Source organism: Homo sapiens, chromosome 10 (assembly GCF_000001405.40).
Source record: "Homo sapiens chromosome 10, GRCh38.p14 Primary Assembly".
Taxonomy (NCBI): Eukaryota; Metazoa; Chordata; class Mammalia; order Primates; family Hominidae; genus Homo; species Homo sapiens.
The window spans coordinates 26,190,897-26,212,672 of NC_000010.11; the positions used below are offsets into that span (position 1 = coordinate 26,190,897).

The window sequence follows — 21,776 nt, forward strand, 5'->3', positions numbered from 1 at the left end:
ACAAGATCAATAATGCCTTTATTCCCAGAACCTTTTTTTGTTTTTCACTCTCTTGGCAATTATTCAGCTTCTTGGCCATCTTCATTTTAATTAATTTGTATTATGATAGTAATGTTCTGATATTTTAATTCAGATTTTAAATAATATTGAAGCCAAGTTAAAATTTAGTCACATACCACATTCATGTTTCTAAAAATATTAAGAATATCTAATAACTTATACCATATTTTTATGTTTCTTGCCATTCAGATTCAAATGAGTAATATAAATGGATATGACAAATGCATTTTGAAATGATAAAAGTTTGCAAGAGCCAATAGAAGCTATTTAATAATCAGCACTGGGAGAGAGGATAATGAGAAGGAAAAAAATAAAAGAACACTATTTATGATGGTGGCAAGAATTCAGGCCTTACCATCTTTCCTCGTGCCTGTGACAGTCTAAGATGGATCCAGAAATGGCTCAGATATTTGGACTCCCTCCACCTCCTCCATCTATTCCTTGAAAAAGGGAGAGAGGGAATGGGAGATGAACCTCCAGGGATGGGTTGGACAGTGCTTTCACTTTTGTTTATTACTAATCTGTACTAACATGGTCTCATTGACAAAGATCTCTTTTTGTTTTATTCAAAAAAGACAGTAATGTATGATAGTTGAGGTTTCTCTGAGGAGCATTGTTCCATGCACTACACCTCTGTGAAGTACTCCCAATTAGCTGATCTCCTTTGTCACCCAGACATTTCCCATACCTTTTGGAATGAATGAGCTGGATAATGTCAGAATATGAATACTTCTGTGATCAGTGTCTTTACTTAGTGGGCTGGTCAGGGAACTAGAAGGTTAGACGTCTATGAGTCTTTCACCCTCGGTTGAAGCTGATTTACACTTGCCAGTCACAGTTGTTTACATATAATAAATATAAATATTCATTTATTTGATTAGTCTAGTTTGGGACAGCTCTGTTTCTCTGTGTATTTCAACATCTGGGGATTAGGAATCATCACTCCCCCTTTACTGTATGCAAGAATGAGCTATTACTGCTTTTAAAGTCCTACCTAGAAATATGTGCTCAGGTGTATTGAATGAAGCTTTCCAATAAGTACCATACCCAACTCACACTTGTATCCTGATCTATCTGTCGAGCAGACATTCTTGCGCAAACAGAGTCGGTGGATGGGGTGGTCAAGAATCATGAAAAAAGTAGAAATATGTAATGAGGTCTATTAGCTCTGTAAATACAAAGCCACTTGTAATGAACATGAACATCCAAGTGTACAGATCACCAGAGGCTCTGACGGTGTTGCTCCCGGTTTGAGATCTTGGCTATATTAACAGAAAGAGTAGGAAAAGACAAAAAAATTTATTCTCTCTTGGTCACTCTTTTAATGTCATATCTAAAACAGCTGTTGGTTTGAGGTTCTAAATTTTGGAGAAAGAATAGATTAGGCTTTTGAGAAAGAGTCAACTCTGCAAATGAGCTGTCTCTTCATTTGGGGCCATAACATATGAGGCAGTACTTAAAAATGAAGATCGTGCAGTGCTTGGATAGACGGGTCACTGCGTGAGGCTGGTACAAGGGGGAGGGAAGGGACAGAAGAGGTTCTGTGAGCATAACATTCCTTTTTAAGTTTTTTTTCTGGCAGCTTTGACCCCTGACCTTATCCATCCTCTGAACTGCTCTATTCAATTCCACGTGACCAAACTATGCATTCTTTCTCGTTCTTTCCTTCCTCCCTCCCTCCCTCCCTTCCTTTCTTTCCTTTTTTTTTTTTCTTGAGACAGAGTTTTGTTCTTGTCACCCAGGCTGGAATGCAATGGCACGGTCTTTACTCATTGCAACCTCTGCCTCCCAGGTTCAAGCAATTCTCCTGCCTCAGCCTCCCAAGTAGCTGGGATTACGGGTGCCCACCACCACGCCTGACTAATTTTTTTGTATTTTTAGTAGAGACAGGGTTTCATCAGTTGGCCAGGCTGGTCTCGAACTCCTGACCTCAAGTGATCTGCCTGCCTCAGCCTCCCAAAGTGCTGGGATAACAGGCGTGAACCACTGCACCCGGCTGCATTGGTTTTCTTTTTCTTCCTCTTGTTTTCTTCCCCTTAGCTCTCAAAGTCCTAGACCACCAGACAACTAGAGGAAAGCACATGGTGAGGAGTAGGATAAGGGTTGGTTATGCAGCAAACGTATTTCCTTTTTCTCCAGCCTTAGCCTCAGTCATATGTGTATAATTTCTTATTTATCCCAAAAGGAAAACATCACTTGATAATAGTATTTGTAATTAAATACTTGTTTATGATCACCTTTCTTATAGGTGTCTGTAAAGGAGAGGAGCCAAAAATATTGAGACCCCCAAGACGACCCCGGAAACCCAAAACATTAAATAACCCTGAAGACTCCACATACTATTATCTACTTCATGTAAGTGGCTCACTCTTACTATCAGATGGGAGCCATCACATCTACTAATGGCCAGTGTGAAAACTGTGGCTAGATTAGTTCAGGCACAAAGGAAGGCCTGGCAGGACAGAGATGCGCTTGGTCTCCTCTTCACTGCCCTCCCCTGGCTGGGGATCTGGGCACTTTGATCTCCTCCAGCCCTTCTTCCTCACATTCAAGCCTCTCCCATGGTAGTACCTACCATGTCCTCCTTGCAGCTTTCTCTGCTGGTCCATTAATATGAGCTGATATGAAAATATCAACTCAGAAAGAGAAACCCATCATAGCAGGAGCTCTCCAGAGAGGGGCCCTGGTGTAAATGGGTGGGTTATGGTGAAACTAGAAGAAAAGGAAAGAAGAGGGGAAACAGACGTTTATTAAGCATCTTTTAAATTCCAGGCCTAGAATAAGGCTTGTTCACATCCACTGTGATAGCTAATCCTGGAAATATCCCTGAATGTATTATCCATATCTCTCAGATCAGGATTCTGAGACACAGATAAGCATGCCTTAGCTGCCAGGCCATTCATTTTATTGAGGTCTTCTGACCCCTCAGCTCCTGCTCACTAACAGCATGAGGACTCATTGGCGTTGCCCCTGATCGCCTGGCCTTCTTCTCATGTTCCTGTTCTCTATAAATGCCACTGTCATCCACATGGTCTCATAAACCAAGAACCTGGGAGTCATTCTGGTTTTTGTCCTCTCTCTCATACCTGTGATCCATCAGTGGCTCTAACTGTGGCTTCTACCTGCAAAAGCTCACTCCAACTCATTTCCCCCCTCTAATCTCACAGCAATTACCATATTTCAGACTATTAATCATTTCCCACTGTGGAATATTTCAGGTCCCACGTAACTGCCTAATCGCATCCTCTCCAGCCTGCACCTGAAAATGTCTCTAAACCATACCTTTGAGCATGCTCCTCCCTTAATTGTTCTTTTAATGGCTCAGCAACTCCTTCAGGATGAAGTCCTGATTCCTTCCAAGGCCTTCTTCGTGGGACCCGTGACTGCTTTTCAGCCTCTTTTCTTGCCCTCTTCTTGTCCTCGAGCCATAGTGAACTGCTTGAAACTCTGCTGGTGAGCTGCATTCCCTCATGCTCCCGAGGCCTTTGCACCCTCTGGCTGGTCCCTCCATTTGCAATATTTATTCAGTCTTCCACTCCCCACTGCCACAGTGACACAGCAGCACTCCCCTATGCCCTGGAGAACCCAGAGGATGTGTTGAAACCCAGAGAATCAGTTAGAAATAAGTTTCCCACCTCGCAGGCAGAAAATGAAGCTCACACTTGACCTCCAAGTTAGCCAGTCTTCTCTAGTTCATTCCCTTCTGTCTAGTGATTTCTTTTCAGTTTCCAAAGAGGGTTGTCTGTGGAAACCCATTCTCCTCCCCTCTCATTTCCTTTAGACAATCCCATTAGCTACTACAACCTCAGTGACTGCTGATTTCTGAATCTTGATCGCTGGCTTAGATCTCTCTGTAGCTCCAGACTCAAATATCAAACTACCTCATGTTTGTTTTACATATTCTACATAGATACACATGGGCATCCATGTATACATGTATAGAGATATATACACACACATACACATCCATACATGGGCGCACACACTCACAGCTTTGTTGAGATATAAATCGCATGCCATACAATTAACCCACCTTAATATACGTTAAATGGTTTTTAGTACAATAATCACAATCAATTTTACAACATTTTCATCACCTTAAAAAGAAACTCATTAGAAGTCATTACCCACTCCCCACCCCCTGCCCCAAGCTCTAGGCGATCACCAATCTAGTTTTCTGTTTCTGTAGATTTGCCTATTCTGGACATTTCCTATAAATAGAATCACACAATATATGGTCTTTTGTGAATAGTCAACTAATTTTACAAACCAGTAATCTGACTATTACCTTGACTTCTCCCTCGTTCTCATCTTCCATATTCAAAAATCTAAATCCAAATATCTCTTGAGTTTCTGTTTCTCTCCATGCTCTGTGCTAATACCCTCTTCCAGGCCAGCATGTCTTGTCAGTAGTTCTGAGTCACTCCTCTTACTGGTCCCTTGGTCTTGTTTTTCCCCTTCCAATTAACGTATTTTCCACACTGTAGCCTGAGTTGTATTTCTAAAATTAATATCCAATTATACTATCCTCCCATTGATGGAACTTTTCTGTTACGTCTCACTGTCCTAAGATATGAAGGCCTGTCAAAATCTGGGCCTGCTCACCTTTCCAGCCTCTGTGCTTGATATTCATTCATTCACCCCTCCAAACTCTCCACTCCAGCCCTTCCTTCCCAGTAACCTGCATTCTCCTCTTCAAATTGTCCACGAACATTTGTCCTTGGACATGCCCTTTTCTCAGCCTAAAACACACATCCTCTTCCCCTTCTTGTCTTTCATGATCAAAACACCCTCAGCCTAGATGTCTTTTTCTTCAGGAAACCTTCTTGTCACTCCCAAATCCCAAGAGAGCTCTTCCTATATCCTCCCGAAGAAGCCCATACTTCCCTTTTATGACACTTTATCATGCTAAAGAGGGATTGGTGTGGCTTCCACGAGGTCAAGGAGTTTGCCTATTGCATTCAACCTGACACATAGCAGGCATGCAATAAATATGTGTTGTACAAATGAGAGCAATGAAATAAAAGAATGAAAAACAAATAGGAGTAAATTGAGAAAAATCTAAAATTCCAGATACCTGCGTTTGACAGTCACTTTATATAGGAAGCTGAATAAGAAATGAAATTGATTTTTTTCTATGCTCTCAAATAATTTAAAAAGCAGCAAATACTCTGACATTTGTTTATGCAATTAAATAGAACAGCAGAAACAAGATTAGAAATTACCAAACATTCCCTATTAACCCTGAGTTTAAGTAGTCAATGATACTCAATGCTCTTTATTAAGTGCAACTGAAATGACAAGTGATTGTGATGGCTTCAACAGCAGATACTATTCCCAGTATGAGAAATTGTAAAAGACCTGAACTGAAGTGAAATGTTATTACTAACAACCAGTGAGAAGTGTGGAGCAAATTCTGAGCCTCATAAATGAGTTCCATCCCCAAGAAGCTTACTTTGTCATTGCACTATTATTTTTAAGTGACTATATTTCCATACATCCTAAGTCATTAGGGAATAGGATCCTTTTTAATAACTCTGAGTTTGAAATCTATGACTTCAATGAAAAATAACACAGAAAAGGAGTATATTATTACAAGTGAAGATATACCACGTGTTCATATTTATCTGGCCCTTCCCAGGATTTGAGGCATTACACATAGTGAAAAGTGTGGCTGTAATGAGGCCCCAGTCCCTTTAACCACCAAACACTTTCTGTAATTTTAAATGGTTTTCATGAAAGTCTTTCTAAAATATATTATACTGCATATTTTAAACCCTTTCTTGATGACCCAGGGTCACTTAAGTGAATGAATTTTTTTTAACTTTTTTTAATGTTTTATTTTTCATTTTTATGGATACATACTAGTTGTACATGTTTATGGAATACATGTGATATTTCGATACAAGCATACAATGTGTAATGATCAAATCAGGATAACTGGAGCATCCATCGTCTCAAGCATTTATTTCTTTGTTAGGAACATCTCAATTCCACTGTTTTAGTTATTTTGAAATATACAATAGAGTACTGTGAACTTTTATTGTAGCACTATTCAAAATGTTTGTTCTTGATTCTTGTTACTGAAACACCAGGGGTTTGGTTGAGGTCCCGCTGCGCACCACACAGAAAGCCAATCACTGAACCGAGTATTACCAAGGAAGAAGGCCTTAATCAGGTGCCGTAGCCCAGGAGACACGAGCTCAGTCTCAAATCCATCTCCCTTACAGATTCAGGCCAGGGATTTATATAGCAGGGAGGAAATGTAACAATGTTTAAGAAAACAAGAACTAGGGAGGGGCAAGGAAGTAGTCATGGTGAATGAGTGCAGTGTTGTGGTGAGTTTCAGTCCTTTTTTTGAGGGGCCTGAAGGTTATTTCCTGAGGAAGGAACTCAGATAAAACAAAAGTTTCAAACTTTAAGACCAGAAGGGTTAGTTTCTATGTTTATCAAAAAGAACAGTCTATGGGACTATTGGGTTGGTTTCATTTGTATCTATACTTACCAGAAGATCCCTGACTGCCATGGCTAAGGCAGCACCCAATCTCTCTTGTATGTCCCTGGCCTGCTTCATTTTTCTCCGCTGCATTTTGCGTTTTTTGTTGTTGTTGGTGGTGGTGGTTTTGAGACAGAGTCTCACTTTGTTGCCCAGGCTGGAATGCAGTGGCCCAATCTCAGCTCACTGCAACCTCCGCCTCCCGGGTTCAACCGATTCTCCTGCCTTAGCCTCCCAAGTAGCTAGGATTACAGGCACCTGCTGCCATGCCCAGATAAATTTTTTGTATTTTTAGTAAAGCCGGGATTTCACCATGTTGGCTAGGCTGGTCTCAAACTCCTGACCTCAGGTGATCTGCCCGTCTTGGCCTCCCAAAGTGCTGGAATTACAGGCGTGAGCCACCACACCCAGCCTTCTTCAGTGCATTTATAAATATTTATTTGTCTACTTGTCTCCTGTGTGACTTCCCCCTCTAAACTAGAAGCTCTATGGAGGCGAGGCCTATGCTCGCTGTTACAGCCATACTCCTCAGAACACTGTGCTGCTTACATCGTAACTAGAAGACTGTTAAATAATAGACCACTGTAGTACAGTACTCTCAGGGGCTGTTGAGTTGTAGAAAATTATTTCCTTTACATTTGCCCAACACAAACATCTCTGCTTTCAGTTGTTTTGCTATTTTTATAGTTTTTGTTTTGTTTTTTTTTCTCCTTGGATGTCACTTCTTACAATGGCGATTCTAGCGGCCTTAAAATCAGTATTGCCTCTTTCCTATGACTTGATGCTCTTTATCTCTTACGTCCAGGAAATGCTGCTGCTGTGTCCAAAATAAGAGTGAGCCAAGCCGCAGAAGCGTGCCTGTGGAGGAGAGCATTAGCGGAGTGCGCATGGCCTGTTGTACTGCCTGGGCTAATGCTCAAAGCTGTGCAGCATCAGCAAAAATGACTCAGGGCCAAGTTTCCTCAAAAAAACGAGTAATCGAACACAATCTTATCAGAGATCCCTTCCAATTTTATTATTCTTTCCAGTACTTTCCCTGAACTACAGCAGTAGCTAGTTTGGCCACTCCAAAGTCTTTTTCTTCCTAACTTCAACGTTTAGCTCCTTCATCCGTCTAAATAAAGAAATTGGTAGTGTATTACCAAAAGGAAAGTAAGATTGTGCTCACCATGATGTAATGGATATGAATTTTAACGTTTTGTCATAAAACATATTTCTTTATGTCGGGTGGGGCTGGAGGGGGAGTGCAATGTGCCTGATTAAGGAACAGGTTCTTCAAAGTCTTCAGAGCTAAGACACTATTCTTTAAAGGCCTCCTCAAGAAACACCCAAGCCAGAAAATCTACGTGAGTCATGTTTGTCTCCTCTTTCTTTCTTTTCTCTACTCTGGTTCTACAGGAAATTGCCATGGGACATTTGCTTCTTTATTTGCATTTCAAATTTCAAGTTTTTAATTTGTAATTTCAAAACTATAATTGAAAACATTGTACATCTTCGCAAAAAAGTCCCCACTATAAAGTCCGTGTAATAAATTTCTTATAAAATCCTCACCTTTGAGGAGTGATATGCTTCCCTTTTCATGACAAAGGGTAGAGGTTAATGCATCGTGCTCCCCTTTTAGCCCCAGCTGTTAGGAAACTAAGAGACAAATGTAAGCCTCCATCTTAATGCACCTACTTCCTTTGCCTCCTTTGTTTCTCATTTACAATTTTTACTTTATTATTTTGATTGTATAACGACTTATATTATGAGCCATCTTAAATAATTTTTGGAAAAATATATTACTGAATTACATTTCATGAGAATATTCTAACACAAGGCCACGCGCAGCGGCTCACACCTGTAATCCCAGCACTTGGAGAGGCCGAGGTGGGTGGATTGCTTGAGCTTAAGAGTTCGAGACCAGCCTGGGGAACATAGCGAAACCTTGTCTCCACAAAAACTACAAAAATTACCTGGGCACGATGGGTCATGACTATAGTCCCAGCTACAAGGATGGCTAAGGTGGGAGGATCACTAAGGTGGGAGGATCACTTGAGCTCAGGAGGCAGAAGTTGCAGTGAGCCGAGATTGCACTGCTGCACTCCAGCCTGAGTCACAGAGCGAGACACTGTCTCAAAAAAAAAGAAAAGAAAAAAGAATATTCTAACACAGGCAAGAGTGAAAGATGTCTGGACAATACATCCTCTTCTAGGAATTCGTGTAACTGAGAACCAACTTATATACACCATGTCCCAGAAGGAAGTGCTGATCTAGTATAAATAGGATCTTCACCAGCCTGAGAATTCAAGGGCAGAACATTATTTGATTCTTGGTTATATAAAGGGCATCTCTGTCACTCAACATAGTGCCATCACTTAAGCCTAACTTTGAACTATAGGCAATTGTTACCCAGAACAAAAGGGACTTTTTTTCAGGTAATGGATGAGGGAGGCAGGACCTCTGTAGGAAACTACTACTGAAGTCATGTTAAAACAGAAACAACCACCACAACAAACAGCACCCCAGTCCCGGAGATCATTAACTGAACTGCTAGTGGCCACTGTTCCTATGCAGGCAATGTAATTATTTGTAAGCGCCTCTTAGCCTAGGGCATTGGATCAAGAATGTGAAGTGACAGGAAACGGGAGAACAGGAATGTAATTGATATCCTGCCCTTACATTATTTCCTGAATGGTCTCCTCCCAGACTTGATGCAAGGAAGCACTCACTTCCACCTCATCCACCCGTTAAAATGCCAACCAATAAGAATAAAAGAAACCATGAACTGTTTCACTCATCTACTATTTTAGAGCACAACAAATGATAAATCCTGAAAAAAACGTGACTTACTGTGTCTCTAAGAATACTGGGGAAAACCCTCAGTATTTATAAACCATTATTAACTGCCATTTTTGTTATACAACACTTTTATGGTACCAGCCAACTTGATACCTGCTATAGGGTTTCCACAGTTATAATATCTTCAGTTTGTTCAAGGTGAGTATGGTGTCTGTTTTCTCAGCCTAAAAGACAAATACGCTGTGGCAACATGTAAATAGATGAGCTCAAATGTATTGAAGTAGCACACACACAAAAACACATTACTAATGCTACAGTGCAAAAGATAATACTGGTTTGTATATAAGGTGAAACTTACATACAAAGGACCATTTTGTTAGTGTTCGAATTGAAGTATCAGTTAAAATATATCTAATGATTTCCATATTTGCGTATCTTAATTTGTTCTGACCTTGATACATAAAGTTCTCAACTATGAAAACATTGTGCAAATGAAAACATATATCATCTGTGCTGCTACATTTATGTCATAAATGGGCTCCTATAGGTTTATGAAGTCACAATTCCATTCTTTTTGCGGACTGTTTCACCTGCCGTCCATATTCACCCATCTGTTTTACCTGCAGACAAAGAAGCAAGACATTCAAAGCAGCTTAATTAACCTGCTTCCATCACAACTGCATTTGTATAGAGAAATGGGCTTCCCAGAAATTTTAGTTTGCTCCCGTTTGTAGTAAATAGATCTTATGTATAGCCTTGTTTATATTGGTCACTGTGTGGGAAATACATTTTTCATGTGGAATGCAAAGATTCGTTTCAGTTTAGGTGTGGCAAAAATAACCAGAAATTTATAATTAATAAAACTTGAGTAAATTATATTTCTTTAAATTTTTAAAATATTGTATCCACTTGCTTATTTCTAACTTAGTCTTTTAAGAGTAAATGTATTTACATATTAAGATTATAGTTATATATCCATTATATTAAGATCATAATATTATATAGATCTTTTGAATTCTTCTTTCCTTTAGAAGTCAATCCAAGAAGAAAAACGAAGACCAAGGAAAGACAGGTAATTATTACTTCTGGATTTCAATCAGTCATCTTATTCAAACAAAAATAAAAATCCATGTGTTCAAATTATGATTTAAAATCACCTATTTTAGGCCAGGCGCGGTGGCTCACGCCTGTAATCCCAGAACTTTGGGAGGCCGAGGCGGGTGGATCACGAGGTCAGGAGATCGAGACCATCCTGGCTAACACGGTGAAACCCCGTCTCTACTAAAAATACAAAAAAAAAAAATTAGCCGGGCGTAGTGGCAGGCGCCTGTAGTCCCAGCTACTCAGGAGGCTGAGGCAGGAGAATGGCGTGAACCCGGGAGACGGAGCTTGCCGTGAGCCGAGATTGCGCCACTGCACTCCAGCCTGAGCAGTCGACTGGGCGAGACTCCGTCTCAAAAAAAAAAAAAAAAATCACCTATTTTATATGCATAGATTTGGAAAGTAATGTGCACCCAATACATTTACGTTACGAATATGTGATTTATATATAATTTATAAGATCCTGCCTACTGGAAATCTATTGAGCCAGCATAGCACTAAGAACTTAAATATGTTTTAAATGAATCGTACCCTCCCAGTAGGTAATTTGCTTTTCTTGTTCCATGGAATGGTTTTGCTTGGGCAATTTGAACATACCTGTATTCATGAATTTCCTTTCCCCAAACTCCTTTTTGCTTTTTCTCCTTCTACACATGCTAAATCTTGCTGCTTGTAATTTTTATAGATTTGTTAAGAAGATAAGGTTTATGTTACTTGCAAGTATAGCACACTTAAATTCACATTATTCTCCTTTTCTTATATTTCCCACTGATATTTTACTCTTTTAATATTATATCACTGTTTTAATCAATGTTCATGTCAACCAATTTCCAGACAGTGAGTGCTAAGAACAAACAAGAGCGTTTCTATTAAGCATGAGTGAACACAGTTCTTTATTTCTGAATCAGTGACATCCTGAAAGTCCTTTTTAGATTAGTATCTGTAATTTGAAAAGTGTGTTTTCCTGGAAGCATTGTAACACCTGGAGATTTCCCAGACCTACCTGTTTATCTCTTAGGAAGTCCCAGAGCACCATAGGAACCAGACTGTGCCCTGAGTAGAACCAAGAATTAACATGGGCAAGGATGCACCCTTATGTGTATGTCATGTGTGGGTGTTAAAATCTAGCACAGAAATTAATCCGCTAAAGAACAGAGTAGAGGGAGGACAGAATGTTATTCATGAAGGAGGTAAGTTAAGATCATATGTGTATCAATGTACTGAGGGCTGATAAAATTTGAAAATGCTGAGTATTAGTACACAAAGGTGAGCTTTTCTGATAATGGCCTAAAGGTCAGTAGTGACTGCTGATCTGGACTGGCCAAACTGAAACACTGCAATCACTGGCTATTCTAGTAACCACTAGTTTGGTGCCAAGTTCAGTGCAATAGAACCAGGAAAATGTGTTCCCACAGCTAATGTTCTGTTCAAGGTAAGATATGAAGGTTTTTCTTTTTTACTTATGGGATACACTGTTTTTCCCACATTTCAAGACCTTCCATTTCTATTGACATGTGTATGTTACTCTAAATTATAGTAAATACTTTTAAAGAAAAAAAAGTATCCTGTAAGTTTAAGTGAGTAGAAAATTAGATTGATGCAATGGTGTGTTTATGTGTTCATTTACAGTCAGGGAAAATTATTAGATTTGGAAGATTTCTATTATAAGGAATTTTTGCCCAGTCGTTCTGGACCAAAGGAACATAGCCCTAGTTTAAGAGAACGAAGACCACAGCAAGAACTCCAGAATCAATGTATTAAGGCTAATGAAAGGTAAAAAGCTAAACTTTAAAGTACATCATTTGCAGTTTTATACTCACAATTTCATTTCTTAAGATATTTCACTTTATATATAGATGAATGACAAAGCACTCTTACTGAATATTGCATCTTTGGAGTGATATGGTGTTTAAAAGTAATGTCATGTACAGTGTTATGGTAAAGTAATCAGATACCTCAGTTTTCCTAGCAAAAACTGAGTTTTTATCTGTTTTCTTGGAGTAATTATTAACAAAAACTCCTGTTATTTAATAAAAGTACTTCAGTTTGGATGATAAATTATTATATGGTCATCTGATTGTAAGCAATATATCATATCCAAAATCTATATTCAAGCTCAATCAAAGTAATTTTAATTACTCATTGGTTTCTTAATTATGCTTGTTAATTTCTCAGAATCAATGATGTCAGACCCAAAAACATTTGAGAGAAAGATTCATAGAAAAATGCATATTTTGGACTTGAATTCTCACCTTGCCACCAACTTTCTGACATTAAGTAAATTATTTTGTAGCTTATTTCATACTTTAGGAATTTTTTCTCTTTTCTCCCAAAATATCTGTGGCATTTTGAGATCTGGGTACATAATAAAACAAACATGACATATGAAAAATGGGAGTAATGATGGAAAACAAAAAGCTGTTCATCCAAAATTCTAAACGAATATCCTGTGAATCTAGGGTCCTCAGAACCCTCACCCATTTTACAGAGTGACATGGTGGTTAAGAAAAGAAGTTTTAGAGTCACATGGTCTTAGGTTTGGATCCTGATCCTGCTGCTTAGTTGTTGAGTGACCTTGCTCATGATAGTTGACCTCTTTAAGCTTCATTTCCATATCTGCAAAAGAATTTACTAATAACTGCCTCACCATGTTGTTGTAGAGACTAAATGTAGCAATAGGGTACTTAGGAGAGGCATAGGAAAGGTGTTCTATCAGTGGTGGCTATTATCATCTTTATTTGCTTTTTCAGAATCCATCTAAACTATGATATTTGCCCTTTGCCTCCAAAAGAAGATGTGCTCTTCCATCTTGGGATCCAGCACTGTAACATGTTGGAGCTTAGAGATGTTCTAGTCTAATCTCAGAGCTCTGTACAGAAGAACACCAAATGCCAGAAAGATTAAGTGATTTGCCCAAGATCACACACTGAGTTAGTGAACTAAAATCCCAGATGTTCACTCCCTGCCCATTTGCTTTTCACTGACTTACCTGCTTCCCATTTTAAAAGCTCACCCTGCCCCTTCTCCAATGTATCCTTCCCCTTCCCCCCACTGGCAGATACACATCTGCTATGAAAGCGTTCTATTCCTGAAATACTCCTGATGTAGATTAAGTGATGTCTATGGGTGTTATTTAGTATCCACTGCAATAAATGCTAGCAGCTAGTATTGTTGACTGCCTACATTGTGCTAGGCACTATGCCATTGTCTCATTTAATCCTCACAGCAACCGCACGAGGCAGTTACTATTATTGCCCCATTTTATAGATGAGGAGGCTAAATCTACAAAGTTTAGTGACTGCAAAGAGTCACCTAGATGATAAGTTCATGGAGCCAGAATTTCTAAGTTTAGAGTTGATGGCCTTAACCATTACTCAGTATTTCCATCCTATGCAAAAGATCATGCTGGGCATTTGAAGAAGGGGTGGATAGAATAGTGCATAAGATGTGATCCTTACCTCCAAGAGCTTGATGCTGAAGGAAAAGTATACCCATATAACAAAGCTGAACAAGGTAACTCAGATAAGGTTTTTTTTTCTAAACTAAGGAAGGTTACAGAGACAAAACAGCCTTGACAGTATCCTGAATTTAAAATAGAAAACAAAAACCAAACAGCGAAATAGTGCTATTGAAACAATTGGAGAAATTTGAGACTAAGCTACATGTCAGAAGATGTTAGTGCACAAAGAATATCTTTTTGTGTATATACACACACCAAGTATTGGCATTGCGCGAGAGGGTGTAAGTCTGGGAGTAAGAGACAACAGCGATGGTGAACTGAGTGCCTTGTGATTTTTTTAATTGACAAAACGTGTATAAACTTGTGGTATAGAACATGATGTTTTAAGATACATGTACATTGTGGAATGGCTTGATCATGCTAATTAACATATGAATTACCTCACTTAGCTATCTTTTTTATGGTGAAAGCACTTAAAATCTACCCTCAGCAGTTTTCAAGTACACAATACATTTCTATTAACTATAGTCACCATGTTGTACAATAAATCTCTTGAATTTATTCCTCCTGCCTAACTGACATTTTGTATCCTTTGACTGATCTCTCTCCCCAGTCCCGTGACCAGTGCCCTGGTAACTACTATTCTACTCACTGCTCTGTGTGCTTGTCTTTTTTTTTTTTTTTTGGGGGGGGGCTTCCATGTATAAGTGAGATCATGCTATATTTGTCTTTCTGCACCTGACTTCTTTCACTTAGCATTCTGTCCTCCAGGTTCACTCGTGTTGTTAAAAATGGCAGGATTTCTTTTCTTTTCTTTTTTTTTTTTTTTTTTTTTTTTTTGAGACAGAGTCTGGCTCTGTCGCCCAGGCTGGAATGCAGTGGCACGATCTCGGCTCACTGCAAGCTCCGCCTCCTGGGTTCATGCCATTCTCCTGCCTCAGCCTCCCAAGTAGCTGGGACTACAGGCACCCGCCATCACTCCCGGCTAATATTTTTTTGTATTTTTAGTAGAGACAGGGTTTCACTGTGTTAGCCAGGATGGTCTCGATCTTCTGACCTTGTGATTTGCCCTCCTCGGCCTCCCAAAATGCTGGGATTACAGGCGTGAGCCACCGTGCCCAGCCGGATTTCTTTCTTTTTTAAGGCAGAAGGGTATTCCATTGTGTACATATACCACATGTTCATTATCCATTCATCCATTGATGGACTCTTAAGTTGATTCCATATATTGGCTCTTGTGAATAATGCTGCAATGAACATCTGAGTGCAGATTTTTTTTTTTTTTTGAGTGAGTCTCGCTCTGTCATCTAAGCTGGAGTTCAGTGGCATGATCTCAGCTCACTGCAACCTCTGCCTCCCAGGTTCAAGCGAGTCTCCTGCCTCAGCCTCCAGAGTAACTGGGATTACAGGTGCATGCCACTCTGCCCGGCTAATTTTTATATTTTTGGTAGAGACGGGGTTTCACCATGTTGGCCAGGCTGGTCTTGAACTTCTGGCCTCAAGTGATCCATCCGCCTCGGCCTCCCACAGTGCTAAGATTACAGGCGTGAGCCACAGCGCCCAGCCCAGGTATCTTTTTTACATACTGATTTCATTACCTTTGGATATATGCCCAGAAGTAGGATCATATTTATTTTATTTTATTATATTATTTATTTGTTTATTTATTTTTGAGACATAGTCTCACTCTGTCACCCAGGCTGGAGTTCAATGGCACGATCTTAGCTCACTGCAACCTCCACCTCCCAGGTTCAAGTGATTCTCCTGCCTCAGCCTCCCAAATACCTGGGATTACAGGTGCCTGCCACCATACCCATCTAATTTTTGTAATTTTAGTAGAGATGGGGTTTCACCATGTTGGCCAGGCTGGTCTCAAACTCCTGACCTCAGGTGATCTGCCCACCTCGGCCTCCCAAAGTGCTGGGATTACAGGCGTGAGCCACCGCGCCCAGCCTGATTTTAATTTTTTAAGGAACTGCCATACTGTTTTCTGTAATGGTTGTACTAATTCACATTCCCACCAATGATGTGCAAGAGTTTCCCTTTTCTCCCCACCTTTGCGAACATTTGTAACCTTTCATGTTTTTTATAGTAGCCATCCTAACAGGTGTGAGATCTCATTGTGTTTGTAATTTGCATTTCCCCAATGATTAGTGATATTGAACATTTTTTCATATACGTGTTGACCATTTCTCAGTCTTCTTTTGAGAAATGTTTATTTGGGTCTTTTGCCCATTGTTTAATTGGGTTATTGGAGGGTTGTTTTCTGTTTGGGTTTTTTTTTTCTAAGTTGTATCAGTTTCCTTATATATTTTGGATATTAACCACTTACTAGATGCATAGTTTGCAAATATTTTCTCCCATTTAAATGATTGTTTCTTCATTCTGTTGAATGCTTCCTCTGCTGTGCAGAAGCTTTTTAGTTTGATGTAATCCCATTTGTCTATTTTTTTGCTTTTGTTGCCAGTGCTTTTGAGATCACAATCATTGCCCAGACCAATGTCATGGAGGTTTTCCCTTATAATTTCTTTCTTTTCTTTTCTCTTTTTAGGCAGCATCACATGAGCTAGCCCCTGTATTTTCTTCTAGTTTTGCAGTTTCATGTCTAATGTTTAAGTCTCTAATCCATTTGGAATTGATTTTTGTATGTGAGATTGCTATTTGTAAGTGAGATAACAATCTAATTTCATTCTTCTGCATGTGGACATGTGGTTTTTGCAGCACCACTTATTGAAGAGACTGTCCTTTCCCCATTGTGTGTTTTTGGCATCTTTGTTGAAAATCAAATGACTGTAAATGTTGGATTTATTTCTGGGCTCTCTATTCTGTTGGTCTATGCATCTGTTCTTATGCCAGTACCATGCTGTTTTACTTACAATAGCTTTTTAATATAGTTTGAAATCAGATAGTGTGATGTCTCCCTGCTTTCTTCTTTTTGCTCAAGATAGCTTTGACTACCAAAGGGTCTTCTGTGGTTCTATACAAATTTTAGGATTTTTTTCCTATATTTGTGAAGATGTCATTGGAATTTTGATAGAGATTCCATTGAATCTGTAGATTGCTGTGGGTAGTATGAGCATTTTACCAATATTAATTATTCTGATCCATGAACACGGAATATCTTTCCATTTATTTGTGTCATCTGCAATTTTGTTCATCAATGCTTTATACTTTTCAATGTATAGATCTTTTACCTCCTTGATTAAATTTATTCCTAAGTATTTTTTGTAGCTACTGTAAGTGAGATTGTTTTCTTGATTTTTTTTTTGATAGTTCATTGTTCTCATGGACTTTAAATGAATGAAAGCTGGTGACAGGCAATCAGTGATTAGAGAATGGCACTAGAGGAAAAGAGGACAACAAGAGGCTGACATCTGCTTGTCTCCTCTGAAGATGGGACCTAGTGGGGTCTCTGTTGGGCGGTGGTGAGAGATGTGGGGTGTTTAGGGCATAAGCAGGTTTTAATTATGGCAAGATGATCAATGGAGGATAAAAAGGGGAAAATAAGATGGAACACAAGTGCCTCAGTTAAGAGACAGGAGAATTGTGAAAGAAGCATCAACAAAAAAAGAGGCAAAAGGATACAAGGAGGAAAGCCTAAGATTTGAGCCCTATAGACCTGGGTTTGAATCTGCACTCCACTTCTTACTAGCCATGGCAACTAGGATCAGTCTGTTTTCTCATCTGCAAATTGAAAATAACAAGAATCTAAGGCTTTGCAGTGTTGTCCTTAGAATTAGAAATAATGTTTGTGATATACCTGGCAGATAGTTGATATTTAATATTCTTAAAACAGAAATAAGCTGAATAGGTATGAAAATTCAAGTCAGTAACTCAGAAGAGGATGATCTGCTCCTTCAATACCCATCATGATGCTACTTGACCTTCCCCGTCAAGTATCCACTGAGCTCAGGATGCCCTGAAAGACCTTGCCAAAGGTTTTTTTCTTTTTCTTTTCCTTTTAATTCCCTATTCAGAACAGACCAGAATAGAGGCATATTCCATCTGCAGGCTACGTTCTAGACCTCTCCTTTCACCATTATTTTCATTCATTTGCATATATGTCCAATGGCCTTGCCCTCTCTCCTTCAATTATATTCAACTGGCAAACTCCAATGCTGAGTAAAATCAAAACAATTTAATCCCACTTAAAATTATGGCCACTCCTTAGGCAGCCCCTTAGTTACTTTGCAATATTACATTTCCCTAAAAATTCCTTATGCCACTTTCCCTGTCCACTCTTTCAAACTTCCTCCTCTCTCCTCAAACCCTCCAAACTTCCTGGCTCTCAGCTGACAACCTTCTTTTATAACAGTAGCAGATAACAGACACATGCTGAATATATCAGTCGTCCTACCACTTACCTATCTACTTCCCTCAGGATTCTATGGATGACCTTTCCACCCTCCTAGCTAAAGTGAAACCTTCCCTTTGTGCACTAAATCCAAGTGCTATCATTGACTCAAGGACATTGTCCTGCAATTGTCCCCTCACTCTTCTGCACCTTGAATGTTTGTTCTCTTTACGAAATCATTTCTGGCAATTAGTGAACATGATGCATTCAGATCCATCTTAAAAAACATCCTTGACCCAATCCCCCCCTACAACCACCCATTTTTTCTGCTCTTCAGTATAGTAAATGAATAATACATGAAAGAGTAATGATACTACCTCCTGCACATTCTTTCTTCCTATTCTCTTGAGCCGCTTCAAGGTCAGGTTTCCTCTCCCAGCACGACACTGAAATTGCCTCTGCCAAGGTTAACAGTGACCTCCGTTTTGCCATGCTCTGTGATTTAACACCTATGTTACTCATTTTTTCTTTAAGTACTTCATTCACTGGCCTTCAGGACAGCACTTCTCTTGGTTTGCCTCTTACTTTACTGGCTGCTCTTTCTCATTCTCCCTGCTGACTTTTCTCATTTCACTGATCTCTCAGTAATGGAGTGTCCCAGACCTTTGCTTTATCAACATGCACTCTCATGACCTTAAATATTGTCTGAGTACTTAAAATTCCTGGCCTGGCACTGTGGGTCATGCCTGTAATCCCAGCACTTTGGAAGGCTAAGGCAGGAGGATCACTTGAGCTCAGGAGTTCAAGACCAGCCGGGGTAACATTAGTGGGATCCTGTCTTTACAAAAACATAAAAATAAAAAAAGGAGCCAGGCGTAGTGGCTCATGCCTGTAGTCCCAGCTACTCAGGAAGCTGAGGCTGGAGGATCAGTTGAGCTTTGGAGGTTGAGGCTGCAGTGAGGCTGTTATTGTACCACTGCACTTTAGCCTGGGTGACAGAGTGAGAAAGAGCGAAAAGAGAGAGAGAAGGGAGGGAGGGAGGGAGGGAAGGAAGGAAGGAAGAAAGGAAGGAAGGAAGGGAGGGAGGGAAGGAATTGTCTTTGTACTTAAAATTTGTGAACTGAAATATCTAGCCTTGCCATGACTTATATATTTGATATCTTCTTGAATATCTAATAAATATCTCAAACTTAGCATAACCAAAACTAAAATGTTTATCCCACTGCAAAAATTATGCTTCTCTGCAGCCTTCCCCATCTCATTAAATGACAGTTCCATCCTTCCAGTTTTTAAGCCAAAAGCCTTGGCGACATTCTTGGTTCTTCTCTTTCACACCCCACGTTTAATCCATCAGTGAGCCAACCCTTTCAGTTCTACTTCCAAGTATGACCATAATCTGGCCAGTTCTCACCTCCTCCTCCACAGGCCTAGTGTAAGCCACTATCGGTCTTGCTTGGATTACTACAGAATCTCTTAACAGGCCTTCCTACTTTCATCCTGGCAGACAGATCCTGTTATGAGTGATTCCTCTGCACAGAACCCTTCAATGTTTCTCTCACTGTGAGGAGAAGTCAAGTCCTTGACATGGTCTCAAATTATCTGAACACTAAATTATCCGAACACTCTATCCTCATTCCTCCTTCTCTCATCTCTTGCTATTTCCCCCTCTCGCTTACTCTTTTCAAGCCACAGTGGTCTCCTTGCTGTTCCTTGAACACGATGTGTACACTCTAGTCTTGCAGCCTTTACATTGCTTGATCTATCATCCTGGAATTACTGCCCTTCCCCACGAGATCTGCATGGCTCACTGTCTTCCTTCAGGTCTCTCCTTATATATCACCTTGTCAGAGAGGCCTTTCCAACCACCCTGTATCAAATTGCCTGTACACACATGCACACACACACACACACACCACTCTTTCCCCATTACCCAGCTTTACTTTTCTGTGTAGCCTCTCACCCCCTGGTGTTTTCAAGTTGTCTGTGGGTCTCCTGCACTAGACTATAAACTCCATGACAGCAAGGACTTCTGCTCACCTGTCACCTACACTGGTGGCTGGTACTTAGCAGGTGCTCAGTGAATGAATGAATGAATCAATGGGGAGTGAATGAATCTATGTAGCTGCATTTTTAGGGAATACCCCACTTTCCAGACAAGCTGCAGAATCTGAAGGTAAACATTGGCAGGGGTTCTCAGCAATGGATTCAGAAACTTAGCCCAGCAGCCTCATTGAAAACATTGAAACACTGAAAAAGCCAACAAGGCCCATAGCTCTTGGTGTCACTAACAGAGCAGTTGGTCAGATTTTGAGTGAGCATTTTTTAAAGAAACATCTGAGCAGTTTTAAAATGCAAAATATTGAGTGTCTATTTGGGCACTTTGAGTTTTTTGTTTGACCAAAGTGTGTTAAAATTAAGGTATTAAAATAAATATTTGTTTATTGGTTGTGAATTATTGCAATCCAAACTCACCTTTCCAAACTGCACCTTCTGAAGCTTTAGTTAGCACGTATCTAAACACCATTACCAGGCTCCACCAGCCCCTCTGCTCCTCAGCTTAGAGGAGTTTTTAAAACCTGTTGAGAATTATCGCAGATACGTTTGGCCATTATCCAGTCGTTTCGATTGTGCCTTTCCTAAATGTCCGCGGTTGGCAGAACGTGGGAGGAAGAGGACCCGCCTAACTCGGGGTAGGTGGGGACGCGCTGCTCACTGTGGTGAGGTTGACACTTGGGCCCTGGGTTTCACTTGCAGGTGCTGGGCGGCGGAGAGCCCCGAGAAGGAGGAGGAGAGAGAGCCAGCAGCCAACCCCTACGACTTCAGGAGGCTCCTGCGCAAAACCTCCCAGCGCCGGCGCCTCGTCCAGCAGTCCTAACCGTTCAACGAGGCAGTCACCGCCGTCGGAAGGCGCTGGAGCCTGCGGGGCAGCAGGGGCCAAGCAGGCACTCTGGGGCTGGCACCAGCAGGCACTGAAGCTGCGGCCCTGATCTCCGCAGAGGCTGCCTGCTGCGCTCGGCCCTCAAGTGCCCGGGCCGGCCTTCGTGCTCCGAAACAAGAGACCTGGGAGCCCTCGGGAAACCTCCCCCGACGCTCTCTCTCGGAACTCCCGCACCCTCCTTTCTCACCAGCCCGCCAGTTGTGGCAACCCTGTCCTTGTTCCCCTAATCTATCACTTTGTTCTTTTTTTTTGTGACTCCTGTGGACTCCACTGCGCCTGGGATCTCGCCAACCCCTCTCTCATTTGGGGTGACTGAATTCACAGATTTTTTTTTTTATTGGAAACGGCTTTTCTTGGCCAACAGAACACTTGCTAGCGGTTGAATCTTAGAGAAAAAAGCCCGGGAGGGGTGGGGAGAATTTCGAAGATGTATTTCATCTCAAGCTTGCTCTTTCTCTTCCTTTGGTTATTAAGGTCACTAAATAAAGGAAGTGCCTTGGAAAACCCGTGGTTTGCGTGACTGATCCCTCATTTTCCCCTCTAGGGCTTCTGAGGGGCTTCTGCTATAAGGCTGTGCTGGTGACGGGCCCAAGGAGGGGCGTTGAGGTGCCTTCATCAGCGAACTCCCAGCACCACCCAGCCACTT

The 21,776-nt window shown here is 40.6% G+C and overlaps 1 protein-coding gene across 20 annotated transcripts in view, besides 1 other annotated feature; it reads left to right on the plus strand.

The window, feature by feature from the left end:
• The window catches only part of MYO3A (myosin IIIA), a 278,304-nt gene extending 256,668 nt beyond the window's left edge, over positions 1 to 21,636 (plus strand). For 8 of the 20 annotated variants that reach the window (XM_011519498.3, XM_011519500.3, NM_017433.5 and 5 more), the window contains 4 exons: positions 2,309 to 2,415; positions 10,369 to 10,409; positions 12,068 to 12,211; positions 20,947 to 21,636. In XM_011519498.3, the coding sequence (XP_011517800.1) occupies positions 2,309 to 2,415; positions 10,369 to 10,409; positions 12,068 to 12,211; positions 20,947 to 21,067 (413 nt within the window). In that variant the 3' untranslated portion in view covers positions 21,068 to 21,636. Of the gene's footprint in view, positions 1 to 2,308; positions 2,416 to 7,361; positions 8,101 to 10,368; positions 10,410 to 12,067; positions 12,212 to 13,188; positions 13,617 to 20,946 lie in introns of those variants that run through there. The other 12 variants (XM_011519503.2, XM_047425358.1, XM_011519505.2 and 9 more) reach the window with 9 other exon arrangements.
• Positions 8,900 to 9,423: an enhancer, noted in NCBI's record as "NANOG hESC enhancer chr10:26488725-26489248 (GRCh37/hg19 assembly coordinates)". NCBI's record gives its function as "activates a minimal SCP1, AML or CMV promoter by ChIP-STARR-seq in primed H9 embryonic stem cells {active_cell/tissue: H9 hESC(primed)}" and the evidence as "EXISTENCE:reporter gene assay evidence [ECO:0000049][PMID:30033119]".